This window comes from Homo sapiens, chromosome 13, assembly GCF_000001405.40.
Source record: "Homo sapiens chromosome 13, GRCh38.p14 Primary Assembly".
Classification (NCBI taxonomy): Eukaryota; Metazoa; Chordata; class Mammalia; order Primates; family Hominidae; genus Homo; species Homo sapiens.
Genome location: NC_000013.11, coordinates 21,246,860 through 21,271,039, shown reverse-complemented (window position 1 = coordinate 21,271,039; position 24,180 = coordinate 21,246,860). Strand labels below are relative to the sequence as shown.

At 41.2% G+C, this 24,180-nt stretch overlaps 1 long non-coding RNA gene and 1 pseudogene across 3 annotated transcripts in view, besides 1 other annotated feature; both read right to left on the bottom strand.

The window, feature by feature from the left end:
- Nucleotides 1-11,027, bottom strand: part of LOC105370105 (uncharacterized) — a 32,756-nt gene extending 21,729 nt beyond the window's left edge. For 2 of the 3 annotated variants that reach the window (XR_001749768.3, XR_001749771.1), the window contains exons 1-2: nt 10,951-11,027; nt 8,466-8,567 (exon numbers count right to left, since the gene is read on the bottom strand). This is a non-coding gene — a long non-coding RNA (uncharacterized LOC105370105). Of the gene's footprint in view, nt 1-1,955; nt 2,058-8,465; nt 8,568-10,950 lie in introns of those variants that run through there. The other variant, XR_001749770.1, reaches the window with a different exon arrangement.
- On the bottom strand, nt 8,678-10,949 carry ESRRAP2 (estrogen-related receptor alpha pseudogene 2; annotated as a pseudogene).
- Nucleotides 22,453-22,954: an enhancer, noted in NCBI's record as "H3K4me1 hESC enhancer chr13:21822225-21822726 (GRCh37/hg19 assembly coordinates)". NCBI's record gives its function as "activates a minimal SCP1, AML or CMV promoter by ChIP-STARR-seq in primed H9 embryonic stem cells {active_cell/tissue: H9 hESC(primed)}" and the evidence as "EXISTENCE:reporter gene assay evidence [ECO:0000049][PMID:30033119]".

Sequence of the window (24,180 nt, the reverse complement as noted above, 5' to 3'; positions counted from 1 at the left end):
ATTATTATTCCCATCACTTTAGAGATGAAGGAAGTGAGGCTTGGAGAGATCAATTCTGTAACTCACTCAGGATCTTGAACTTCTAACCACTATGCTTCACTGACTCTCCTGAATAAAGTCACATTATTATACCTCAATACTGTTATTTTTTCTTTCTTCCTTATGTATGTATGTATTTATTTATTTATTTCTTGAGACAGAGTTTCACTCTGTCACCCTGGCTGGAGTGCAGTGGCACAATCTTGGCTGCAACCTCTGCCTCCCGGGTTCAAGCAATTCTCCTGCCTCAGCCTCCCAAGTAACTAGGATTACAGGCATGAGCCACCGTGCCTGGCCTAATACTGGGTTTTCAAATTAGGTTTTTAAACATAAGGACTTGGAACACCCAAGTTTCTTCAAATAATGAAATCCAAACATGTTGTAAGAGTAGACCAAATCTTTCCTTAATATCAGATATTATTTTACAGAAGAGGAAACTAAGGCCCAGGTGCTTAAATAATTTCCTCAAAGGCAAATGGCCAATAATGGACAGAGCTGGTACTCAGGTTGGTACAACTTAAAAAGGCGTTGGTCTTTTTACCTTACCCTGATATCTTCCGGAACACAGAACCATACTTTAAGCAATACATACATTATGTAATACATGAAACACAGTATGCTGTATTATTGCAAGTACAATATGAATATACAGGCTGGCTATGGTGGTTCACGCCTGTAATCCCAGCACTTTGGGAGGCCAAGGCGGGCAGATTACCTGAGGTCAGGAATTTGAGACCAGCCTGGCCAACACTGCGAAACCCTATCTCTACCAAAAATACAAAAATTAGCTGGGTGTGGTGACACACGCCTGTGATCCCAGCTACTCGGCTGGGGGATGAGAATTGCTTGAACCCGGGAGGCGGAGGTTGCAGTGAGCCGAGATCGCACCACTGCACTCCAGCCTGGGCGACAGAGAGAGAATCTATCTCAAAAAACAAAAACAAAAATATGAATATACAAAATATTAATAATTTGCTAAAAGAATCTGTAAGTCTCTAAAGTTTTCGTATAAAAAGCAACACTTTATATTAATTATATTATTTACATATAAGACTAAATATTTCTGATATTTAAGCTTCCGTTCCACCTATTAATCCAACAAATTAAAGATTATCAAAAATTAAGATATTACAATGATACCACAACATTATGAAGGTTAAAATATGGACTACATTTTCCTAAGACTTATTCAGGCTCTTCCAACTTCTAGCTAATCTTACCCTAAAAGTAAATCAATCTTTTCTAATTCAAAATACTTCTATAAATTCAATTAAAATGTTTAACTGATGACAACATGGGTATCATAAAAAATAAATAGCATAGTAATACTGTTTTCCTTTTGATTTAGGAAGAGGTAACATCTCCAAAAACTACCCAGTGAAGTAGATGATATTCTGTTGCCAGTTCAAAGCATCTATATTATGCAGGCAAAGATTTCCAAAGCCTACGATGTTTTTGCTTTGAGTTGCTCATACAAATTCCCTGCACCTCATTAATGCAATGGTTTTATGACTAAAGGACACCAGCATGAGACTTTAAGAGTTGTAATGTTCTCCAAAATTGAAGTATAATCTCATACCCCTTATTTAATATATAGAAGATTCATCAAGTAATATCCTGTTGAGCGATTAGAAAACTGCAATCATTTGCAGTTCTCAGTCCTTTTATGTCATAGAAATTCATGATGCATTTTTGCCATCTAGTTTTACTTCTTCATTTTCCTTATCAAGCATCTAAAAATAAGTGAAATTCTAACGTCGTTTTAAAAAAACCTTGTCAGATTTCTTTTAGGACACCATGAAGATATCTACAAAGTGTTTTGAAATTCATGTAAGTATCTACACTCTGAAAGTGAATATCTGGCAGAAATAATTTCAGTCAATAAATTTTATAACCCCCTGAAATTAACACTTAGCTGCTTCATTGTTAACTGGGAACTCCCACAGTTTCCCCTCTTTTGTCCACAGGATCAGCTCTTCAAAGCCATTCTGAAGGGGTTGTTCATTGACTGTGGCTAACTGCTTAGCAAATTCCACATCCCAAAGTGAAGGTGATGTGTCGTATAATAAAAACATTTTAAGTAAGAACAAGTCAATGTAAATATCTTTCTTTAAAAAGTTATAACCAATCCTGAATTGATCATGTATTTTTCAGACCTTGACACTCATAATTAAATAGTATATAATAAAAAGTTACTGAGAGATAACTGCAAAAATTATATTAAAAATTATAACTACAATAATGGCAAGCTTAACTTTTGTTTTACAACAATGCCAGGTAATCACTGCCCCCTCTACTGGAAAGAAAAAAATAAATTTTGTTTAAGGGTATTTTTATGAACGTGAATGTTTTTTGTACAATATGTGAGTCTGGTTTTTAAAGTCTAGCCTGTTTATCTTTATTTTTAGTCTATCAAAATTAGTCACTAATGTACTACTGTTAACAACCAAAGAAGTTAAATTAACAGAATGATGATAAAACTGCCAATGAATACTGAGTACTTCCTCTGTGCTTAAATGCTTTTTATGCATTAGTGCACGTCATCCTCACAACCAACCCTATGAGTAACGTATTATCATGTTGGCTAATTACCACCATCATATTACATGTTTCAATAACTTATTTACTTTTGAAACTTCAGATCATCTTTTGAGAATGAGCCATATTCCCACCAGTTACTGCTGCTGGGAACGTAAAATGGTACAATCACCTTGGAAAACAGTTTGATGGCTTCTTAAAAAGTTAAAAATATATCTATTATTCAACATAGCCATTTGATTCCTGGATATTCACCCAAGAGATAATACATGTCCACACAAAGATTTGTACACAAAAGTTAATGGCAGCTTTCTTTGTAATAGCCAAATGTGGGTTGTAATCTGGGAAACAACCCAAATGTCCACTAACAGGTGAATAAGTACAAAAATGTGATACATTCATACAATGGTATACTACTCAGTAATAAAATGTGTTACTGGTACATGTAACAGCATGGATGAATCTCAAATCATTATGCTGAGTGAAAGAAGCCAGATGCAAAGGAGTACATACTGTGTGATTTCAGTTACGTACAATTCTAAAAGATGCAAAGTAGTCTATTGTAACAGTAGATCAATGGTTGCCTGCATACTGTGTGTGTGTGTGTGTGTGTGTGTGTGTGTATTGCAAATGGACACAAGGAAACTTTGGAGGGTCATGAAAAATGTTCAAAATTATAACTGGCAGTTTCATGGGTGTATATATTTGTCAAAACTAGTCAAGTTATATACTTTAAATATGTGCAGTTTATTGCACACAAATTATACCTTAATAAAGTTGTAAAAAGAAAGTGAATAACAATATCTATCCCTTGGCTACCTTTTTCCCTATATTTTTATTCTTTAGTTACTTTTACCAACATTTTTTATCTTTCTTATTTTTTTATGTGTGATCTTGCTTTTTAAAACAAATGAGGATTGGCCGGGCGTGGTGGCTCACGCCTGTAATCCCAGCACTTTGGGAGGCCGAGGCTGGTGGATCACGAGGTCAGAAGATCAAGACCATCCTGGCTAACGCAGTGAAACCTGGTCTCTACTAAAAACACGAAAAATTAGCCAGGCATGGTGGCGGGTGCCTGTAGTCCCAGCTACTCAGGAGGCTGAGGCAGGAGAATGGCGTGAACCTGGGAGGCAGGGCTCGCAGTGAGCCGAGATCGTGCCACTGCACTCCAGTCTGGGTGACAGAGTGAGACTCCGTCTCAAAAAGTAAAAAAAATAAAAAAATAAAAATAAAAAATAAAATAAAATAAATGAGGATCGTATGGTTTGGTAATCTACTTTTTTTCACTGAATGCTTGCATCAGTATCCCATTTTATATATATATGTATCACAATCCCCTACTGTTGAATATTTTGATCATTTATATATTTTCTCTTTTAAATACTATAATGACAAATACCCTTGTATTTACACTTTTGTGCATATCTGTAATATTTCCTTAGAACAAATTCCTAGGAACACAATTTCTGGGTTAGAGGCATAGATTGCATATGATCTATCCTCCAGCTTACCTCTTTACTCACTCTTGCCAAGCCCACTAAAGCATATCAACAACTAGCTCATTTACTCTTCTAACTGTGTAAGCCTTATTTTATCTATTTTGCTTTTCCTGAATCTGTTTCTGAGCCTTTACGTGCAGAAATGTGTCTAACCACACTGCTAGATATTAAGTATTTTGGCCTAGATCATCTGATACTGGGAAACAATCAGTTGTTAGCCTTAACTAGCCACATTTACAGAGCAATTACACCACTAAAATAACTTAATTGTCTCAGTTATCTTTTACTTGGTGGTCACTGACTGACCTATGTCTTTTCCATCATCACTGGGATCATCACTATATTTTTACACTTGCTAATAGTTGCAAGCATTTATTAAATATGTACTATGTTCTAGGCACCTCAAGCATTTATTAAATATATACTATGTTCCAAGCACTATGCCTGACACTTTCTCAGATTACCTCATTTAATCCTTGACATGTATGTACTAGCCCTCATTTTATAGGTGGGGAAAGGTTGGTGTGTCAGAATCTGAATTTGAATCCAGTTCTACACAACACCAACACTCTTTCTGTTAAGCTATATTACCTGTCGACTCTAGGATAACCACTGGGGCCTATGACTGTATCCTCTGTAGCAGTGGTAAGAACTTAGTGTGGAAAAAGACGTGGGAATCATGGAACAGAATAACTCATTCAATCGGTCAATAAAAAAAAATTACTGAATGCCAAGTATATTTCCAGCATTATGTGAGGTGGTTGGAAAACAAGAGTGAACAATTGCTAAATTTACGTTTCCACATTTTGCTATTCTTGTACTTAACTGGGAACAAAAATCACTCTTTAGACATATGCAAGTGTAGCATATTCAAACAGTACCTTCATTAGAGTAAATTATTACATAAACTTGTGTGCTATTTTCCTCACTAGAGTAGAAACATTTGATACTGTTTGATAGAATACATAAAACTTGAATGCTTCCTTGCCAACTAACTTCAGTTTTAGAAATAAGATTTTTTTATTTTAAAAAGTAAGCTGGCTCCTTCAAGAATCTCAAGAATCTTCAAGTGTCTGTTTTGGCTGGACAACAGCCGCTGCCCTGCCCTGACAACAACAAATTTCTTTCTTTCTTTCTTTCTTTCTTTCTTTCTTTCTTTCTTTCTTTCTTTCTTTTTTTTTTTGAGACGGAGTTTTGCTCATTGTCCAGGCTGGAGTGTAATGGTGCAACTTTGGCTCACTGCAACCTCCGCCTCCTGGGTTCAAGTGATTCTCCTGCCTCAGCCTCCAGAGTAGCTGGGATTACAGGTGGCTGCCACCATGCCCAGCCAATTTTTGTATTTTTAGTAGAGACGGGGTTTCACCATGTTGGCCAGGCTGGTCTTGAACTCCTGACCTAAGGTGATCCACCCACCTCAGCCTCCCAAAGTGCTGAGATTATAGGCATGAGCCACTGCGCCCGGCCAACAAATTCCTTTCCGATGCACGCTTAACCATTTGAGCTGGGGAGAGACGAGAGTCATTGTCCCTATGCATTTTGCACTTCCTTTTTATCATACACAAGAGAATGCAGTTTTCAGAATACAAGAAGGGGGTTGTTCTTTTAGCTTCACTTTCAGTTCAAATGAACAAACACTGAATTAACTTCTTTCCTCTATAGGTGTATATTTTATAGTACAATTTGTTCAAAAAAGAATTTAAGATTTAAGATAACTAGTTGCTATGATCTGTAAGCCACATGAGTAGGTGCTACATGAATGAGATATAGCCCCTAATAGTATATTAAATAGGGGGAAAATCCAAAGTTTGTATAAGTAACTGGTAGAAAGATTAAATGAGCCCTTGGAGGCCAGCCTAGGAACTTATCTATTATGTACAACATTCTCCCCCCCACCTTTGAGTTGGAATCTCACTCTGTTGCTTAGGATGGAGTGTTATGGCATAATCGTGGCTCACTGCAGCCTCAAATTCTGGGCTCCAGTGATCCTGCCACCTCAACCTCCCAAGTCGCTAGGATTACAGGCATGTACCACCATGCCCGGATAATTTTTTTCTATTTTTTAGAGAAAGGGGCTCACTATGTTGCCCAGGCTGGTCTTGAACTCCTAGTCGCAAGCCATCCTGTTGTCTCAGCCTCCCAAGTCCATATACAACATTATTTCTACCAAGATCCAAAAAACTTACTTCTATTCTTTAGAAATGCTCATCATTTATACACTGGAGACCATTTGTATTGAGTTTCTTCATTGATTTTACTGGTAAACCAAATTTAATGTCAAGCAAGAGGACACTCTTATTTCTCTTTTAGACTTAAAATGGCAAATTACTTACCCAAAGAAAACACTACAAGTCTGTTAAATATATTCCTTGAATGTTCTTCCCATCTCCTGAACAATCACTAAGTCACTTCAGTAAGTTTTTTTTATAAATGCTATCTCCTCTTCTAGGCAGTAAGCTGCCTAAGGGCAGGAACCAGTATATCTTTATGTAATAGCATAGAGGTACACTGTAAATGGTAGTTGATTATTAATGTTCTAATCCAAATTAGTAGCTAATCTGAACCTCTGGATTCGGTAATTGGTAGTACTTACCTCCCACTGTCTCACAGAATGCAACATTTCATGGGGGAAACCTGACCAAAACTAGCAATATTGACAACTGTAGTGTGATGTGTCCCCCACCAGGTTACTTAAGAGTGTACATGTGTTGCTTGGATCCTGAATGCTGGGCAGGGAGTCAAGGCCCTGGTGCCCAGCTGAGGAGCAGGGATCCCTGAGAACCCAAACATCCCAGGGCATACCTGAGAACATGTCAAAGAAAACACTGTCATCGTGCACACAGAGTAGGCAAACAGTCAGAACATTAGCTGAAAGGCAGCTTAGAGACGGGAGGCAGGGTGACTCTAGAGCTGCTTAGGAATGTCCAGTATGTAAGTCCTAGTAAACTCATCTATTCATCAAGCTGGACTTGCCCATATTATTCTTTGGTCTCTCGACGCTTTCCCAGTTTGGGGGGATGTTACAGTGCCAAGTTTTCCTTATAACAACCACCACATTGTAAGCAGGATCCAGGCCAATGACAGGATGGAATATTAAAATATTCAACTATTATACCGTCAGAACACTAAGGAAGGACATCTTGGAAAGATGGAATGTTTCTCCACCTGAGAAATAGTGTTATTCTTTCTTTTTTCAAGTTTAATTTTTAATTTATTAGAACCCAGTAAATGATGATTTTTAAAAGCAGAGTTTATACCAAATTAACACTTAATTCAGGGCAAAAATACACTTAAAAAACCTAAATCTTAAGGCAGAAGTAAAACACTATAAAAACAGTATGTCTAATACAGACTGTAAAATGTCAGATTTTTAAGAGATTCACATAGTATTTTATAGCACTAAAATATTAATAGTCAGAAATATTATCAATTGGTCCAAGATTTCTGTTTATAAAATGCCTAGACTGCTAATTGAAGAAGTGTTGCTGTATAAGTAATAGCTACAATCCAACAAACCAAGGGACTGTTTTTATGACAAAAGAACTAAAGTAGGTAATTACATGGTTTCTATTTGTAAAGCTTTTGCAGTATTAAATATAAAGTATTACTAAGGGAATATTTTGATTCATCTCCCTACCCTAATGCCCCCAGAATGTACATCACTTCCCTTTAACTCTATTTTTAAAATTCTGTGAACCACCATACCTATTAATTGTAGGCCTGACCCTATAAAGGCATGAATTGTTTACTTTGATATGGTGGAAGAACAAATTTGGTAAACTACTACACCTTTTCCTAGTCATTGAGCAATTTCAAACAGAAGTCTTAAGAATTGTTGCACCTCGACAAGTGAACAACCTGTTTCTTTACCACTATTAAGTTTGAATTTTGTCTGGAATCTGTTAGAGTTGTCGATATTGCTAGTTTTGGTCAGGTTTCTCCCAAGAAATGTTGCATTCTGTGAGACAGTGGGAAAACACATTTCATGTTTATGTGCAATTAACAGTAGCCCTTCTGAAAAACAGGGTTAACATTCTTACATTTCCCCTTGTGATCAAAACCTTTTGTTTTTAGGGAGCAGGATAAGATTTAAAAGTGCTTTAAATCAGAAAACAAGAATTAGCTAGCTTACACATTCCACTGAATAGTGTCAAAAAAGATAAACGCATTTAAAATAAGTTGTAAGTCCAGCAAATATAAGCTTGATGGGTTCTTAACTAAGATATTAAGTAATTACAAAGATTCATTTTTTTACAAACTTTTAAGCTATTTTAATAAAATGGCTATAGACCTCACTATACTTCTATTTATCTGTGCATTAATAAAAACCTGTTAAAATTCCTTATTTAGTACTTCTGAAAAAGTCTAGTCAAATAAGATCACTAAAATTACCAGAAAAGCTTTGAAATACTGATTGCAGATTCATTTCAAAGTAGATTTAATGCCTTTCAGGATCTGGTGTTTAAATCATGAATGTCTTCACCGACTTCAACTCTGAAAATATAAAAATTTTAGTCAGTGCTGGCTATAGTTAAACAATACTGATGTTACTTGAAAAAATAGAAATAAAAAATACATTGTCAATCATGCATTCCACAATTTTCTTTTTGAGCTCGATAGTATATATATTTTTTCTCATTAAAGATTCAAAACCAAAAGCGGTTTCTCTTTGCAGCAAATATACATTAAAATAGAGTCTCTGTACAGCCAAAGGCTCTGGGCCCTGGCTTGCCCCATGTCCGTGCGCCTCCCTGGCCAAACCCAAAAATAAATATAGTGTTACTGCTCTGCAGGGCATAGAGGCAGTGCTCTCCTACCCCCTGAGGAGGCTGGGTGGGAGCTGATGGGGAAGCCCTGGCCACCCCAGGGGTCCAGGGGCTGGAGCCTGCTTGGAGTTATTGCTTCAAGGGGGGGCACTAATGCCCAGTGCAAATGATGAGAGGAGGAGCAAAGGGAGCATGGGCCTTTGCTCTCCGAGTCCCACTCTGCTCTGAAGAGGCGGCAGGATTAAGCAGCAGCAAAAGCATCACCCACTGGGAGACTGTGGCCTGCATCCCCTTCCCTCCCTGAGATAGGCTTCTGCCTCCCACACATCCCCTGCAGCCCCCTGTGGCTTCGGCAAGGCCCCCTACACTCTTGGGGCACGCTATGGCTTGCAAGGGGCAGCACTGTGCCCAGAGCCCGGACACACGTTTCCAGCTTCTGACATCCCCTAGGAGGGGGGAGGGGAGGGAGTGGGGCCTGCTCCCAGGGGCTGATGGCATTGCCCTGGCCCTGCCAGCAGGCTGTGGCACTGCCCAGACCCCAGCTCCGCCCCAGCCCTTGGGGCTGACCCCATGCTAGGCAGGTCCTGCCAGAACCCCCACCAGTCCCACCCCTCGCCTCAGTCCATCATGGCCTCGAGCATCTCCAAGAACAGCTTGTGCATGGGCACCTTGCCCTCCAGCTTCACCCCATAGAAATGGGCCAGCACTTTGCCCGCTGTCTGGTGGAGGAGCGGTAGCGTGAACAGCAGCCTGCCTGGCCGCCGCCGCTCAGCACCCCCTCCGGTGCCAGCCCGGCCGGCTTCATACTCCAGCAGGGCCTCGTGCGGAGCTTCTGGCAGCTGCTCCACAGCCTCGGCATCTTCGATGGGCACAGAGTCTGAATTGGCAAGGGCCAGGGCCTTCAGTAGAACGTACTCCCCTCGCTCCAGCCGCAGGGACTGCAGCCGCCGCACCAGTTGCAGCAGGGCAGTCCCCAGTTCCCCCAGGCCAGCTGCCCGTGCCCCCTCTTCATCCAGGACTCTGTCCTCAGTGAAGGCCAGCTCATCCTGCAGTGGCAGTGAGCGCTGGGCCACACCGGGCACCAGCACCTCCATCCACACGCTCTGCAGTACTGACATCTGGTCAGACAGCGACAGCAATGAGAAGCCTGGGATGCTCTTGGCCCAGCTGACGGTAAATACGATCTCTCGGTCAAAGAGGTCACAGAGGGTAGCCACGGCTTAAAGGTGCCCATCAGGGCCCACGGGGTCGGGCATGGCATAGAGCTTCTCAGGCTCAACCACCAGCAGATGAGACACCAGCGCATTCACTGGGGTGTCTTCTGGGGGCCTCCAGCGACTGCCAGGGGCCCAGCAGGGAAGGCGCCCGGGAAGGGCAGCGGGTCCACCTCTGGCACCGCTTGTACTTCTTCCGCCCACCCCGGACGCGATCCAGGCGCACTCCCGCAGGCACTTGGTGAAGCGGCAGGCCTGACAGGCCTTGCGTCTCCGCTTGATGATCTCACACTTGTTGGAGGCCGGACAGCTGTACTTGATGCTCCCCTGGATGGTCCTCTTGAAGAAGGCTTTGCAGTCCTCACAGGATGACACACCGTAGTGGTAGCCGGAGGCCACGTCCCCACAGACCAGGCAGAGGCTCTTGGACAGGAAGCTGAGCACCAGCTTCCCACCGCCCAGCTCGCCAGGCCCAGCCCCTTCCCATCCTCCTCTTCCTTGTGGCCTGGGAGGCAGTGGGTGGGAGCTGGACCAGGGGCCAGGGCCACAGGAGGCTCGGGTCTCCGTCTCCGAGGAGCCCTTTGGACTGTCAGGCCTGGCCGGCTCTGCCATGATGTAGAGAGGCTCACTGCCCACCACCTGGCTGGACATGGTTCTGGTCACCTGACACGCGGCTGCCCTCCTGCCCCAGCATGCCGATCCCAGGCACAAAGCGGGCGCCACCCACTCCACCTCCTCGCGACCGGCCTGCAGGTCCACTCTTATACTTCCGCTGTCGCAGAGGCCGCCACCTCCCGGGGCGCCGCGCCCCGCCCCCCAACCTGCGCACACCTTTGGGAAGTTCCCTGAAGTTGCTACGCCTCCCCCCAAGCCCCGACGCCCGCGGGAGACCGCTACCAGGTTATCAGGAAGTAAGTGGGGAGAGCCAAGGAAGAGGAAGTTCTTCCCGGCCATTGCGATGACCTTTGACCCAGAGAGCAGGGTGGCCCCAGACCCCTTAGAGCGCCCCCACGTGGTCTTCAGAGCCCCTTTCCCGACATAGAGCCCTCCGCGTCTTGCACCCTTGCCAGCCCCAGGGACTTCGGCAAGTGCGGGATTGAACCCTGCCCTGGGGCGGGCTGGATAGGAGGCCCAACCCTGACCCGGGCCAGGACCCGCAGCCAGAGCCAGATCCTGCCCCAGGCCTGCCCACCAGAACTCGGACGCCGGATCCCGCCTGAACCCTGACCAGTCCGGCCCTCCACTGGGTCCCGACCGTGGCCCAGACTGGCCCCAGAGCCAGACCCCGCCTGCAGCCCGCCCCGCCCGCCTCCCTGCCGCCGCATTCGACAATTTCAAGAACTAAGTGGTCGGGCGCGGTGGCGGAAAGTAGGATATACCAATATCTAACAGTAGCTTTGGATCAAAAAGTAATTAGATTGCCGTTGTATCTTTTATTGTGTTCTCTTGCAAATATTAATCTTAATGTTTCCTGAAATGTGATAACACTTCCATTTCATTTGGATAATAATGAATAATAGTTAAGTCCTCTTGTGTCTGCCCCAATACCTTCTTCCTCAGCACCTGTTTGGTGCTGGTGTCCAAGAGGGAGTTATCAGCCAGGGCCCCCAGCCGCTGCTCCCTAACCCCCCCCCCCCCGCACCCCGTCCCCGGTAGCAGCTCACACAGTGGCTCCTTCTCACTGGGCAGGGAGTGAACTCTGGGCTGCGCTGAGCTGAGGTTATATGTTCAACCAAACTCCTCTTCACGGTACCCAGCTTGTGTCTCGCTCCATGTGTGACTGGCCATGAAAAAGCCTGGATTCACGGGGTGGGGGCTGGAAGGTGGAATTAGTACCTTTTCAGTTTGTTTTAGAAAGTTATTTTCCAATAAAAAGATAACTAAGCAAAAAGAAAATAGTGTTAAGACATGAGCTCTAAAGCCAGACTGCCTGAATTCACGTCCCAACTCTACTGCCTTATGACATTTCTCTGGCCTGTTTTCTCATTTGTAAAATGGGAATAATGTTAATGCTTACGTGGAGGATAAGGTTTTGTGAAGATTAGTGAGTTTCAGTACACACAAAATTCTTAGCACAGTACCTGATATATAGAAAACATTGCCTTAACTATTATAGCTATAAATGTCCATGTTAGTGTATTAAATAAATGCTTTACATGTATTTAAATGAGTATATTAGGGCTTGTGTATAAACTTCTTCTTGCCTTGCTAGGAGTTGCTGTATGTACTTAAAGGTGTAAATAAATATTTCAAAACACGTTTTTCACTGCTCTTACATTTTACCAATGATTTTGCCCATCTTTTTCTTTTTCTTTTTTTTTTTTTTAGATAGAGTTTTGCTCTGTCACCCAGCCTGGAGTGCAGTGGTGCGATCTCGGCTCACTGCAACCTCTGCCTCCTGGGTTCAAGCAATTCTCCTGCCCCAGCCTCCCCAGTAGCTGGGATTACAGGTGCCCACCACCACGCCAGCTAGCTGGGATTACAGGTGCATACCACCACGCCCAGCTAATTTTTGTATTTTTAGTAGAGATGGGATTTCACCGTGTTGGCCAGGCTGGTCTTGACTTCTTGACCTCAGGGATCTGCCTGCCTCAGCCTCCCAAAGCTCTGGGATTATAGGCATGAGCCACCGTGCCCAGACTATTACGAGGTTGTAATGCCTATTATCTGGGTTTAGCAGAAGGACCAAGTTATTTTTCCCCCAAACCAATATTTTTCTTTGTCCATTAGAACATGCTTTATACTGCATGTGGAGAGATATGTGTGCCTGACAGTCCCTGACCAGCACCTTGTATCTTGTTGAGTTATTAATGATTTCTCTATGGTTATTTCTTTTCTGAAAATAAGTAATCACCATGGCAATGCTGTCACTTATTAATGATGCAATTAAGACTTTACGCATCTCTGCAAATCTACTTAAAAATAAAATAGTTTTTAAAAAAATTGCCCTCACATTTGTATCAATTACTCATCCTATCTTGTGCTTTGTTTGTTTGTTGTTGTTGTTGTTTTCTGCCTTTAGTTTTGCCTGCTTTTGCTTTGTCAGAACATAGGGCCTATAGAAAGAAAGCATAGGCCAGGTGCGGTGGCTTACGCCTGTAATCCCAGCACTTTGGGAGGCCTAGGCAGGTGGATCACGAGGTCAGGAGTTCGAGAGCAGCCTGATCAACATGGTGAAAACCCGTCTCTACTAAAAATACAAAAATTAGCTGGGCGTGGTGGCACGTGCCTGTAATCCCAGCTACTCAGGAGGCTGAGGCAGGAGAATCGTTTGAACCCAGGAGGTGGAGGTTGCAGTGAGCCGAGAGCATGTCACTGCACTCCAGCCTGGGTGACAGAGCGAGACTCTGTCTCAAAAAAAAAAAAAAAAAGGAAAGAAAGAAAGGGTAGAGTTTAAGATGGTTTGATTCTCTAGATTGTGTTATTCTCATTTTTCATTTGAAGAAATGGAGGCACTCTGAGGCATATTTATTATACTGTAGTCTGGTCAACCAGAAAAACAACCACACAGAGACAAGGTACCCCTGTCCTAACAGCTGCACCCACCTAAAACCCAGATACCCACATGGCCAGCAGCAGCAGCCCCCATATGTCTCTGCAGCCACGTTTGCCTCAGTTTCTCTCTGTAAAGTGGGTATAATGCCTCCCTCACTCATATCACCAGGGTAACTGAGACCTTGCCTGAGAGATGGCTTTGTGTGAAGGGGTAGTGCTAGACAGTGCTAGGAGGATGTGATTGATCGTCATGCTCTGGGCACTGCCATTCATGAGATGAAAGTTGGGAAACCATTCTCAGGGAGAGGCCTCACCCTTCCCAGTCCAGGCAGCCCTCTTCACATCCATATTGGATACTGGTTCCTGTCCTCTGTTACTATCTGTGGATATAAATATCTATCTGTCAGTATGCACAATTAGTGGAAGACTTAGGTTGCCAAAAACCATATTTGTTTAGTATGAAAGATAAACAGGACCTTTGGGAAAGTTGTCTATTCATTGGTTCTGGAAAGTTTTCCCTCTGTGTGCATAAAATTAAGAATTTGGAATTCACGGCAGCATGACAGAGTTTACAGGAAGCTGAAAAGGCCCATGATTGTTGTTTTGAAGGCTTGCAGCCTTAAAAGTGTGCAAAATTACAGAGGCCAAGAAGCCATTTTCACAACTGGATTTGCAGCATCAATTATTCAGCATCTGTTTACTGAGAGCCTGGTATGTGCCCAGCACCAGGGATGGCTCCTGACTTAGCACCAAGTGCAGCTGAGGAGAGAAAAGCAACGCCCAAGAAACAGTTTCAGAACATTTAGTGCTCTCTTGACTAGGAATACAAAAAGAAGTTAAAAACAAAACCCACGCACACACATAGAGAAATGAGCGTCGGCCATCGTGGGCAGCAAGGGGATTTCAGAAAGCCTTTAGATGAGTTATATTTTGCTTTTTCTTAAAAAACCAAAATCTGTCATATGTTGGCTAGTGCTGCTCCTGAAGAAGTTGAACATCGTCCCAGAGGGCAGCAGAACCCTCAGCATCTCACACAGGCAGTTTCCAGCAGGTGTGTGCCAGTTGCTGGGTATACTTGTTTGCTCTGAACCCTGGCACCCCCCTCCAGCTGACAACTGCTTTGTTGAAACCACTGTTAATGCTGAAGAGGGAGTGAAAAGAAAGAAGGGCATCGTGAGGTGTCCTGCCTCTGCAGGTTGGGGCATGAAGGGGTTCTTTCTGAGGAGCCAGGCCCTTAATTCCTGATGCACTTTTAAAAATGGTCACAGTAAAATACTTTCAGTTTAGCGTCAGAACCAGATGCTAATATTATGACTACAAATAATGACTTAGTACTTATGGACCCACGGTGACTACACTAAAAACTTTTCATGTATTTCTTAGAATCTTTACAATAACACCGTAAAGAAAGTACTAAGAGTGTCCCATTTTGCAGGTGAGGAAACTGATGTTTAGAGAATTTCAAAATCTGTCTTACGTTACACAACTATCAGGTGGCCCATATGAAATTGCTTTTTTAGGTATCAAAAAACAGTCACTTATTAAAAATTTCATGTACTTTATGCTGACAATTTCTGGCAGAGCCATTTCTACCTAAGTTTGTGTGTATATATCAATGTAAAACTCTCCATGGCTGGGCTAACTTTTAGTCAGATTTCACCAAATTAAAAAACTGACCTTCTACAAAGTTAAAAAAATTTTGTTTGCACTTTCAGCAACATAGCTCTTTATGTTAAACTCTGAGACATGGAATACTAAAGTTTATGATATTATTGTGGTTGCAACAGTGTTGAACTTGCAGATTCCATGATGGTTGATGTTTGACTACTTGAATGTGTTGCCCTGCCTGCAGGGTGAGCTGTGACGCTCACATAGAGACATTTGAGTTGTATTAAAATGGAGCCAAGGCCTAATGGGCTGTAAGAAATAAATGTGCTGTGGCTGTGTGTCTGGTGATTTCCAGCCCTCATTCATTCATTGTTAGACCAGTGACATTCTCTAAACAAACATCTTACCAGTCGATGGATGAGTGCTCCCTGTGTCCAATACATAATTCTCATGCTTAAAAAGTAATTGTAAAAACAAAATGGTCAGTATGCCTAATACATCACTGTTCTTCCTTAGCAATTAGAATCTCTAAAATGAGTGAAATTAGAATAAAGAAGAACATTTCTATCTTGGTTGCATGGGCAGCTAGGTCTTGGACCTCTGGAAATTCAGCTCAGTCCACCAGTGTTTACTGAGCACCTGCAGCCAGGTGAGAGGCATTCTGCAGAATTTGTGGAAGATTCGTACATAAGTGTTCCCTACTGTGTCCCAGTCTCCCTATTTATAAAATGAATAAAGACAGCTCTACTTCCAAGAGATTTCATTTGTATGGCAGCTTAAAATTTTCCAGAGAAACATGGCTGCCATTTACATTATTAATAAATCAAATTGTTCTGTAACAGAAACCAGCTCAGTCAACCTGTCTATATTTACAATTAGAGTGGTTTGTTTGTTTAACAGATCCTTAAGCCTTACTTCCAGGTACTGTTTTAAGCATTTCACGTATTTTAAAAAATCCTGTTACATAGATATTGTTACTGTTCACATTTTACAGATGAGGAAACTGAGACCTAGAAAGGTTAGATAACAGTCCCAAGGCCACAGGACTCTGAAAGTAAGCGAGGAAGCCAGGTTAAACCCAGGCAGTCTGGTTCATACCCTTCCTGAATGTGATAACCCTGCAGTCTGTTCCATCCCGGGCACAGGCAAGTGGCTATTCTCACTGTGGACGTCTGTTTTGGAAGAGTCCTTCTTTGTGTCCCTAAATATGATGCATTTTTCACTTATTTCCTGAGGAGACTATTGCTGTTTCTTAAAGGTTCAATGGCCTTTTTTATCCAATTTTTGATGGATTAAAAAATGGAAGGAAGGATTTTTCCAGGAGGTATCTCTGTTTCTGTAATGGAATAGCCATTAGTTCTAGTTTCTCCACTTAGCTAGCTCCCCCCGATATTCTCTCTCTCTCGCTCTCTCTCTCTCTCACACACACACACACACACACACACACACACACACCCCTTGAGTGTTCGGATGAGGACCCTGCGGCCCGTGAGTTCCTGCCTGACAACATAAGAAGTTGGCGTAGAGTCAGCCCCTTCCCACTGCCTGTCAGAATTCTACTTTCTTCCTTTTAGTTTTATAAACCCATTCATCCAAGCTGTAAGATTAAAAAAAGCAAAATTACTACCCCCTTAAAGAATTGGGTAATTTTTGCAGCAGCATCATCTCTTCTCCACCTCAGCAACCCACCATCAGAACAAACAAGCAGACTTTTGGTTTGACTTTTCAACACTCAGCCGTATTTGGAAGTAATGATTACTTCCAAATTTCGGAATTTCATATATTTTAAATGTGGTTTCAAAGGTCTTTTTAAAATTAATTCCTCCTTCCAGCTTTCCTCTCTCTTTTTCTCTCCCCTCTTCCCTCTCTCCTTCCCGTGTGTGCCTGTGCATGTGTGTATGTTTCTGTATTTTAAATGTATTCTTTGAAGACAGACCATGTTAGATTTTGTCAGTGGCACATTTCCTTGATGGCTATTTTATCAGCATGTTTTTCTTCACCTTCCATAGGTACGCATCTGCCCCCAAATAGTGTTTAATGAAGAGGTCTTCGAAATAAATCTCTCAAAACAAAAGTTACTTTATTTATTATCTGCATGGAGAGCAGCCAGGGAAACTCATCTGTGAAATGCATCGTTAGGAACCAGAGGACTGTGTTTGTGCATTTGCCGGAGAGTGGGGAGATATCGATGGTGTTCATAAAATCCTGATTTTCAGTTCCTTCTTCTCCGATCAGAATAAGAATTAGGTTACACAGAAACTGAGTGACAAGAGGCAGCATAGAGAAGAAAAATGCATTATTTTTCTTATTGTAATGTCCTTCTTCCCATATTCTTTTTCATACCAAAACATGGTGCTAAAGGTCTTTAAGATTCAGATATGTAAGCTATATAGGAAAAGAAAGCAGAATTCTGTGGGGAAAATAAATATTTACTTTTCTGTAGACTAAAAGTAAAAATCTTCATATTTCTGTTTTACTGTTTTTTATTTTAAAATATTTAATTGACAAACATTTATGTATTCAAGGTATACAATGGGATGATGCGATGTCTGCATACCTTGTGTAATGATTACTACAATCAAATTAATTAACATATCCATCACCACTCAGTTATCATTTTTGTGTGTGTGTGAGTGTGTAAGGACAATTAAAGTGTGCTCTCATCAAATTTCAAGTAAACAATACAGTATTATTAACTATAGTCACCATACTGTATATTAGATCCCCAGAACTTATTAATCTTATAACTAGAAGTTCGTGCCCTTTGACCAACACCTCCCCATTCCCCCACCCCCAGCCCCTGGCAACCACCTTTCTACTCTTTGCTTCAATTAGTTCGACTTTTTAAAGATTTCACATATAAGTGAGATCATGTAGTATTTGTCTTTATATGTCTGGCTTATTTCACTTAGCATAATGTCTTCCAAGTTCATCTATGTTGTCACAAATGGCAGGATTTCCTTCCTTTTTGTGGCTGAATAATATTCCAACATATTATATGTATAATATTCCATTATACATATAATATTTCAATATCATAATCCATTATATATAGAATATATACACACATATTTACTTATATTTACATACACACACTTATATACACATACATATATATGTCAATTTCTTTATTCATTCATCAATGACACTTAGGCTGTTTCAAGGTATTAGCTAGTATAACTAATGCTGCAATGAACATGGGGTACAGAGCTCTCTTCTAAATACTGATTTCATTTCCTTTGAATATATACCTAGAAGTGAGATAGCTAGATCATATGGTAGTTCTGTTTTCAATTTACAGAGGAACCGCCATACTATTTTCCATAATGATTTTTTTTCAGGTAGTTTATTATTAGTGTATAGAAACACAACTGATGTTTGTTGATTTTTGTTTCCTGCAACTATACTGAATTTGTCTATTAGTTCTAACAGATATTTGGTGGGATCTTTAGAGTTTTCTATAAGTAAGATCATATTATCTTCAAACAGACAATTTATCTTCCTGCCATATTTGGATGCCTTTTACTTCTTTTTCCTGCTTAATTGTTCTGGCTAGCCCCTCTAGTACTATGTCAAATAGAAGTGGCAAGAGTAGGCATCTTTATCTTTTCCATAATCTTAGAGGAAAAGCTTTCAGCCTTTCAACTTTGAGTGTGATGTTTACCATGGGCTTGTCATATATGGCTTTTATTGTGTCTAATTTATTGAGTGTTTTTATGATGAAAGGGTTGCATTTTGTCAAATCCTTTTTCTACATCGTTTGAGATGATCGCATGATTTTTATTCTTCATTCTGTTAATGTGGTGAATCACATTTATTTATTTGTGCATGTTAAACCATCCTTGCATCCCAGGGAGAAATTCCACGTGATCATGGTGTATGATCCTTTTAATGTGCAACTGAATTCAGTTGACTAGTATTTTGTTGAGAATTTTGGCATCCATGTTCATTAGAAATACTGGTCTGTATTGGAAAAAACTACTTTAAAGTTCATATGGAACCAAAAAAGAGCCTGCATCGCCAAGTCAATCCTAAGTTAAAAGAACAAAGCTGGAGGCATCACGCTACCTGACTTCAAACTCTACTACAAGGCTACAGTAACCAAAACAGCATGGTACTGGTACCAAAACAGAGATATAGATCAATGGAACAGAACAGAGCCCTCAGAAATAATGCCACATATCTACAACCACCTGATCTTTGACAAACCTGACAAAAACAAGCAATGGGGAAAAGATTCCCTATTTAATAAATGGTGCTGGGAAAACTGGCTAGCCATATGTAGAAAGCTGAAACTGGATCCCTTCCTTACACCTTATACAAAAATTAATTCAAGATGGATTAAAGACTTACATGTTAGACCTAAAGCCATAAAAACCTTAGAAGAAAACCTAGGCAATACCATTCAGGACATAGGCATGGGCAAGGACTTCATGTCTAAAACACCAAAAGCAATGGCAACAAAAGCCAAAATTGACAAATGGGATCTAATGAAACTAAAGAGCTTCTGCACAGCAAAAGAAACTACCATCAGAGCGAACAGGCAACCTACAGAATGGGAGAAAATTTTCGCAATCTACTCATCTGACAAAGGGCTAATATCCAGAATCTACAATGAACTCCAACAAATTTACAAGAAAAAAACAAACAACCCCATCAAAAAGTGGGCGAAGGACATGAACAGACACTTCTCAAAAGAAGACATTTATTCAGCCAAAAAACACATGAAAAAATGCTCATCATCACTGGCCATCAGAGAAATGCAAATCAAAACCACAATGAGATACCATCTCACACCAGTTAGAATGGCGATCATTAAAAAGTCAGGAAACAACAGGTGCTGGAAAGAATGTGGAGAAATAGGAACACTTTTACACTGTTGGTGGGACTGTGAACTAGTTCAACCATTGTGGAAGTCAGTGTGGCAATTCCTCAGGGATCTAGAACTAGAAATACCATTTGACCCAGCCATCCCATTACTGCGTATATACCCAAAGGACTATAAATCACGCTGCTATAAAGACACATGAACAAGTATGTTTATTGTGGCACTATTCACAATAGCAAAAACTTGGAACCAACCCAAATGTCCAACAACGATAGACTGGATTAAGAAAATGTGGCACATATACACCATGGAATACTATGCAGCCATAAAAAATGATAAGTTCATGTCCTTTGTAGGGACATGGATGAAACTGGAAACCATCATTCTCAGCAAACTATCACAAGGACAAAAAAACCAAACACCGCATGTTCTCATTCATAGGTGGGAATTGAACAATGAGAACACATGGACACAGGAAGGGGAACATCACACTCTGGGGACCGTTGTGGGGTGGGGGGAGGGGGGAGGGATAGCATTAGGAGATATACCTAATGCTAAATGACAAGTTAATGGGTGCAGCACACCAACATGGCACATGTATACATATGTAACAGACCTGCACATTGTGCACATGTACCCTAAAACTTAAAGTATAATAATAATAAAATTTAAAAAAAAATAGAGACACTTCTCTTTCTAATGAAATGAATGGCACTATGTATATGCCTGACAATTAATTCATGCCCTAATGATGCCAAACAACCATTAAAATGATGTTGCCGGATATTTGATTACCTGGAAAGATGATCAGAATATATTGTAAGATGGGAAAAAAAAAATACTGGTCTGTAATTTTCTTTCTTTTTTTGTAGTACCCTTATCTAACTTAGGAATGAGATAATGCTTGTCTCATAAAACGAGTTTGGAAGTGCTCCTTCCTTTTAAAATGTTTGGGATAGTTTGAGAAGGGTTGTTGTTAATTCTTCCTTAAATTCTTGGTAGCCATGTTTCTGTTTTAAAGAGTATTGGCCCTTAGGATTGGCTTTTTGGAGTTTTAAAGTCCTTGTAATCCTGATATGCCAAGCCACATTACTTAGAAGACTTATTATAATATATTCTCTATAAACTACCAAGGTTGAGGAATGGAATTATCAAAATGTGTGGCTAATGGAAGCTATATGACTTAATAATATGAATCATCTCCTGATAAGAGAACTAAATGCTTTTATTATAAAAACTGTATTAGTATTTAGTCAGTACATTAATATCTGGCAACATTTAAAGATGTACTGTCACTTACTGGGTTGCTCTTTGACCTTTGTCAATTCATTTAACCTTTTTGGGGCTAATTTTCTTCATCTATAAAATGGAAACAAAATCATTTCTAGTTCATAAAGGTTATATTAAGGAATATGTAAAACAGTAAATGTCAAAATATCCTATACATATGTGAGATTATTTTTTGTTATCTTGCTATGGTTGAAGTTTTAGAGTCACAGTTGATAGAATTTCAGATTAATGGAATCATAACAACAGGATTTATTTTAATTGAGATTTTAGGTTAGTGAGGAAAAGGTGGGATCGTAAGCTAATAGATTTCTATACCTGAAGTACCGTTTCCAAAAATATAAGGTTTGCAAATAATTGATTTGGCTTAGAAAATCCACATTGCTCAACCCATAATTACAAGTTTTCATTCATCTTGCTTTAGAAGTCATCCTTTCCACCACAGTGTATTCCATGCTGTGTTTCTGGCAAAGATTTCATGACTCAATTTGGAGACATAGATTTTCTTACTTGAAGATTCACAAAGCCCATTAGTATTTTAAAGATTCTGAGAATCTTAAGAAAGAAACCTGAAATGAATATTTCCCTAACTTACTTGACCATGAAAAATCCTTTTAAAGAGAGCATCTATTAACATTCTTTGGGTCTAATATCCTATACCACCTCAAGTTCATGAGCTCTGGAGGTGGACTGCCCTTGTTCAAATCTCCATTGTGTGACCTTGAGCTTATTACTTAACTCTCTAAACTTCAATATTCTCATCTGTAAAAGGGCAACAAAGATATTTATCTCATAAGGTTGTTAACTAAGCTAATATATCTTTTAACACATGTTGTTTAATGGGATAGTATATGTAAATTATGAAATAACAAATTTTAAGATAGGTAAAACCCTGACTGTGGTGGGAATGGGAGGTAGGAGCAGGCTGGAAGCACTCGTGGGCTAGTGGTCCTCGCTGGCCTTTAACTCCCCAATGAAGGTGACAGCTGGACCTCTTCATAGTGAAGATTCCCCTTACTGTGAAGCATGGGTCCTTATTCTTCCCCAAGGCAGCCGTATTCCCTCCTGTTCTTAGTCTCTGAACTTAGGGTCACCTATTCAATTGTGTACATGGGCCAGGCAGGGGATGCAAACATGTTAAGGCGCCCAGGGTAAAGGGCAGGGGGAAGTGGTGTGGGCATGGGCAGCAGGGCATTGCCAGCCTGTCCTGCACAGGACCACGCTGTGGCCCCCTGGAAGCCCAAGGCCAATCTGCCTTGACTTTTATTTTTTAAAAGATAAGTTAGAAATCTGGAAGATGTTAACTTTCCTGATTTTCCTGTAGACAAATTGTTCAGATTAAAACACAAAGCAGCACACTGGCTCATGAGCTGTCAGTTTTGCAGTGTCTGCATATAAAAGCAAAGTCCTAGGGACCTCTGCTAATGGGCTCCTGGGCACTCCCCTCTCCCTCCCCTGCCAGCTTGCTCACCTTTTAGCTTTGCTCTGACCTCTGCCCTTTCCCCTTGCTAAGAAGAAAGAAAACCCATGTCTTCTGTTCAACCAATGGGTTCCATTAGTTCTGACTACTGGGCCTCTGTTTCCATCACAGGACTCTTTCTCCAAGTGTTTCCTACCCAGTAATCACCATTTATTTGATTGTCCACCAAGCTCCAGACTTGCTAGGTTCTTTCGGGTGCAATTCTCTGTGGGGATCCAGCTGCCTCATCTGTGATCCCCAGGCAACCTGACATTACAGCCTTCAGTTCTGTTTTCATCCCAAGGCCACACCTGCCTGTTTCTCTATGCCTTTCTCTATATTCACATCATCGCCATAGGCAATCAGCTCTTTGGGACCATTTTCCAGGAATTAATACTCTATGAAAGGGAACTTTTCCTGATAGTCTTTCTTGACAGTTTTAGGTTAGTCTTTACTATGTTGCTCCTTTAGACTTAAACAAACAACTGGCCCTCCAAGTCCCAGCTCCACGGTGATGGGTGTGTTTCTCCGCTTCTCAAGGAACTGCATCTCTGATATCGTTATAATCCCAAGGCCTGTCACACAGCCTGGTCTGCAGGGAGGGGGTGGTAAAAAGCCAAGTAGCTGGAGCCAGCTCCCCCCACCCAGGTCCCCCAGCTCCAGTTTGGCTGCTTCCTAACTTAACCCTGGGCAAGTTTCTTAGCCTCGCTGTGCCTCAGTCTCCTCAGCTCTGATGAGGGGTTGGTGTGAGGATTAACAGAAAGCCCCAAGACAGCACTTGGCAGGTAGCTAGAGCTACCCTTAGTGGTAAAATTAGTATTCATGTGGCAGGATTGCAGTACATGCTTATCAGAGGACAGAGCTCCGAATACTAGTTTGTCTTTGGCAGTAATCTTCTCTTGAACGATACAAGAATCATCTTTTATTTTGGAGACAGCAAGAACCGCGTAGCTTCACTTGGCAGTGTCATGTTTTTCAGAGCCTGCTCGATTTGTACACTGAGTGCGGCTACTTCTGCAGATGTGCCATAATGCAGCAGGCTCACTGCAGTGATTCCTTAAGTGTTAGATGAAGCACGTTGCAATCTGCTGAATCTGGGAACGCCAATGGTATCCTGCTAAGAGGCTGGATGCTGAGACTGGACAGAGATAAGTGGCAAAATATTTTATGAAAATAAATGCTGAATATATAAACTTTTGGTAAATCATTTCCAAGTAGATACTATATTTTTCTCTATTTTATGGATAATTATGTGTCAACTAGCTTTTTGTTCATAGATGCAGAGCACATTAAAAACCTGAATATTCCATACATGTAAATGAGCTGCTATATCCTAGTGATTAGAGGCATAAACTTGGATGCCGAGCAGAGAGCGTTTCCATCCCCAGCTCCATTCTGCATAGCTATGTGACTGCACAGTCACTTAACTTCAAGTTACAGTTTCTCCATC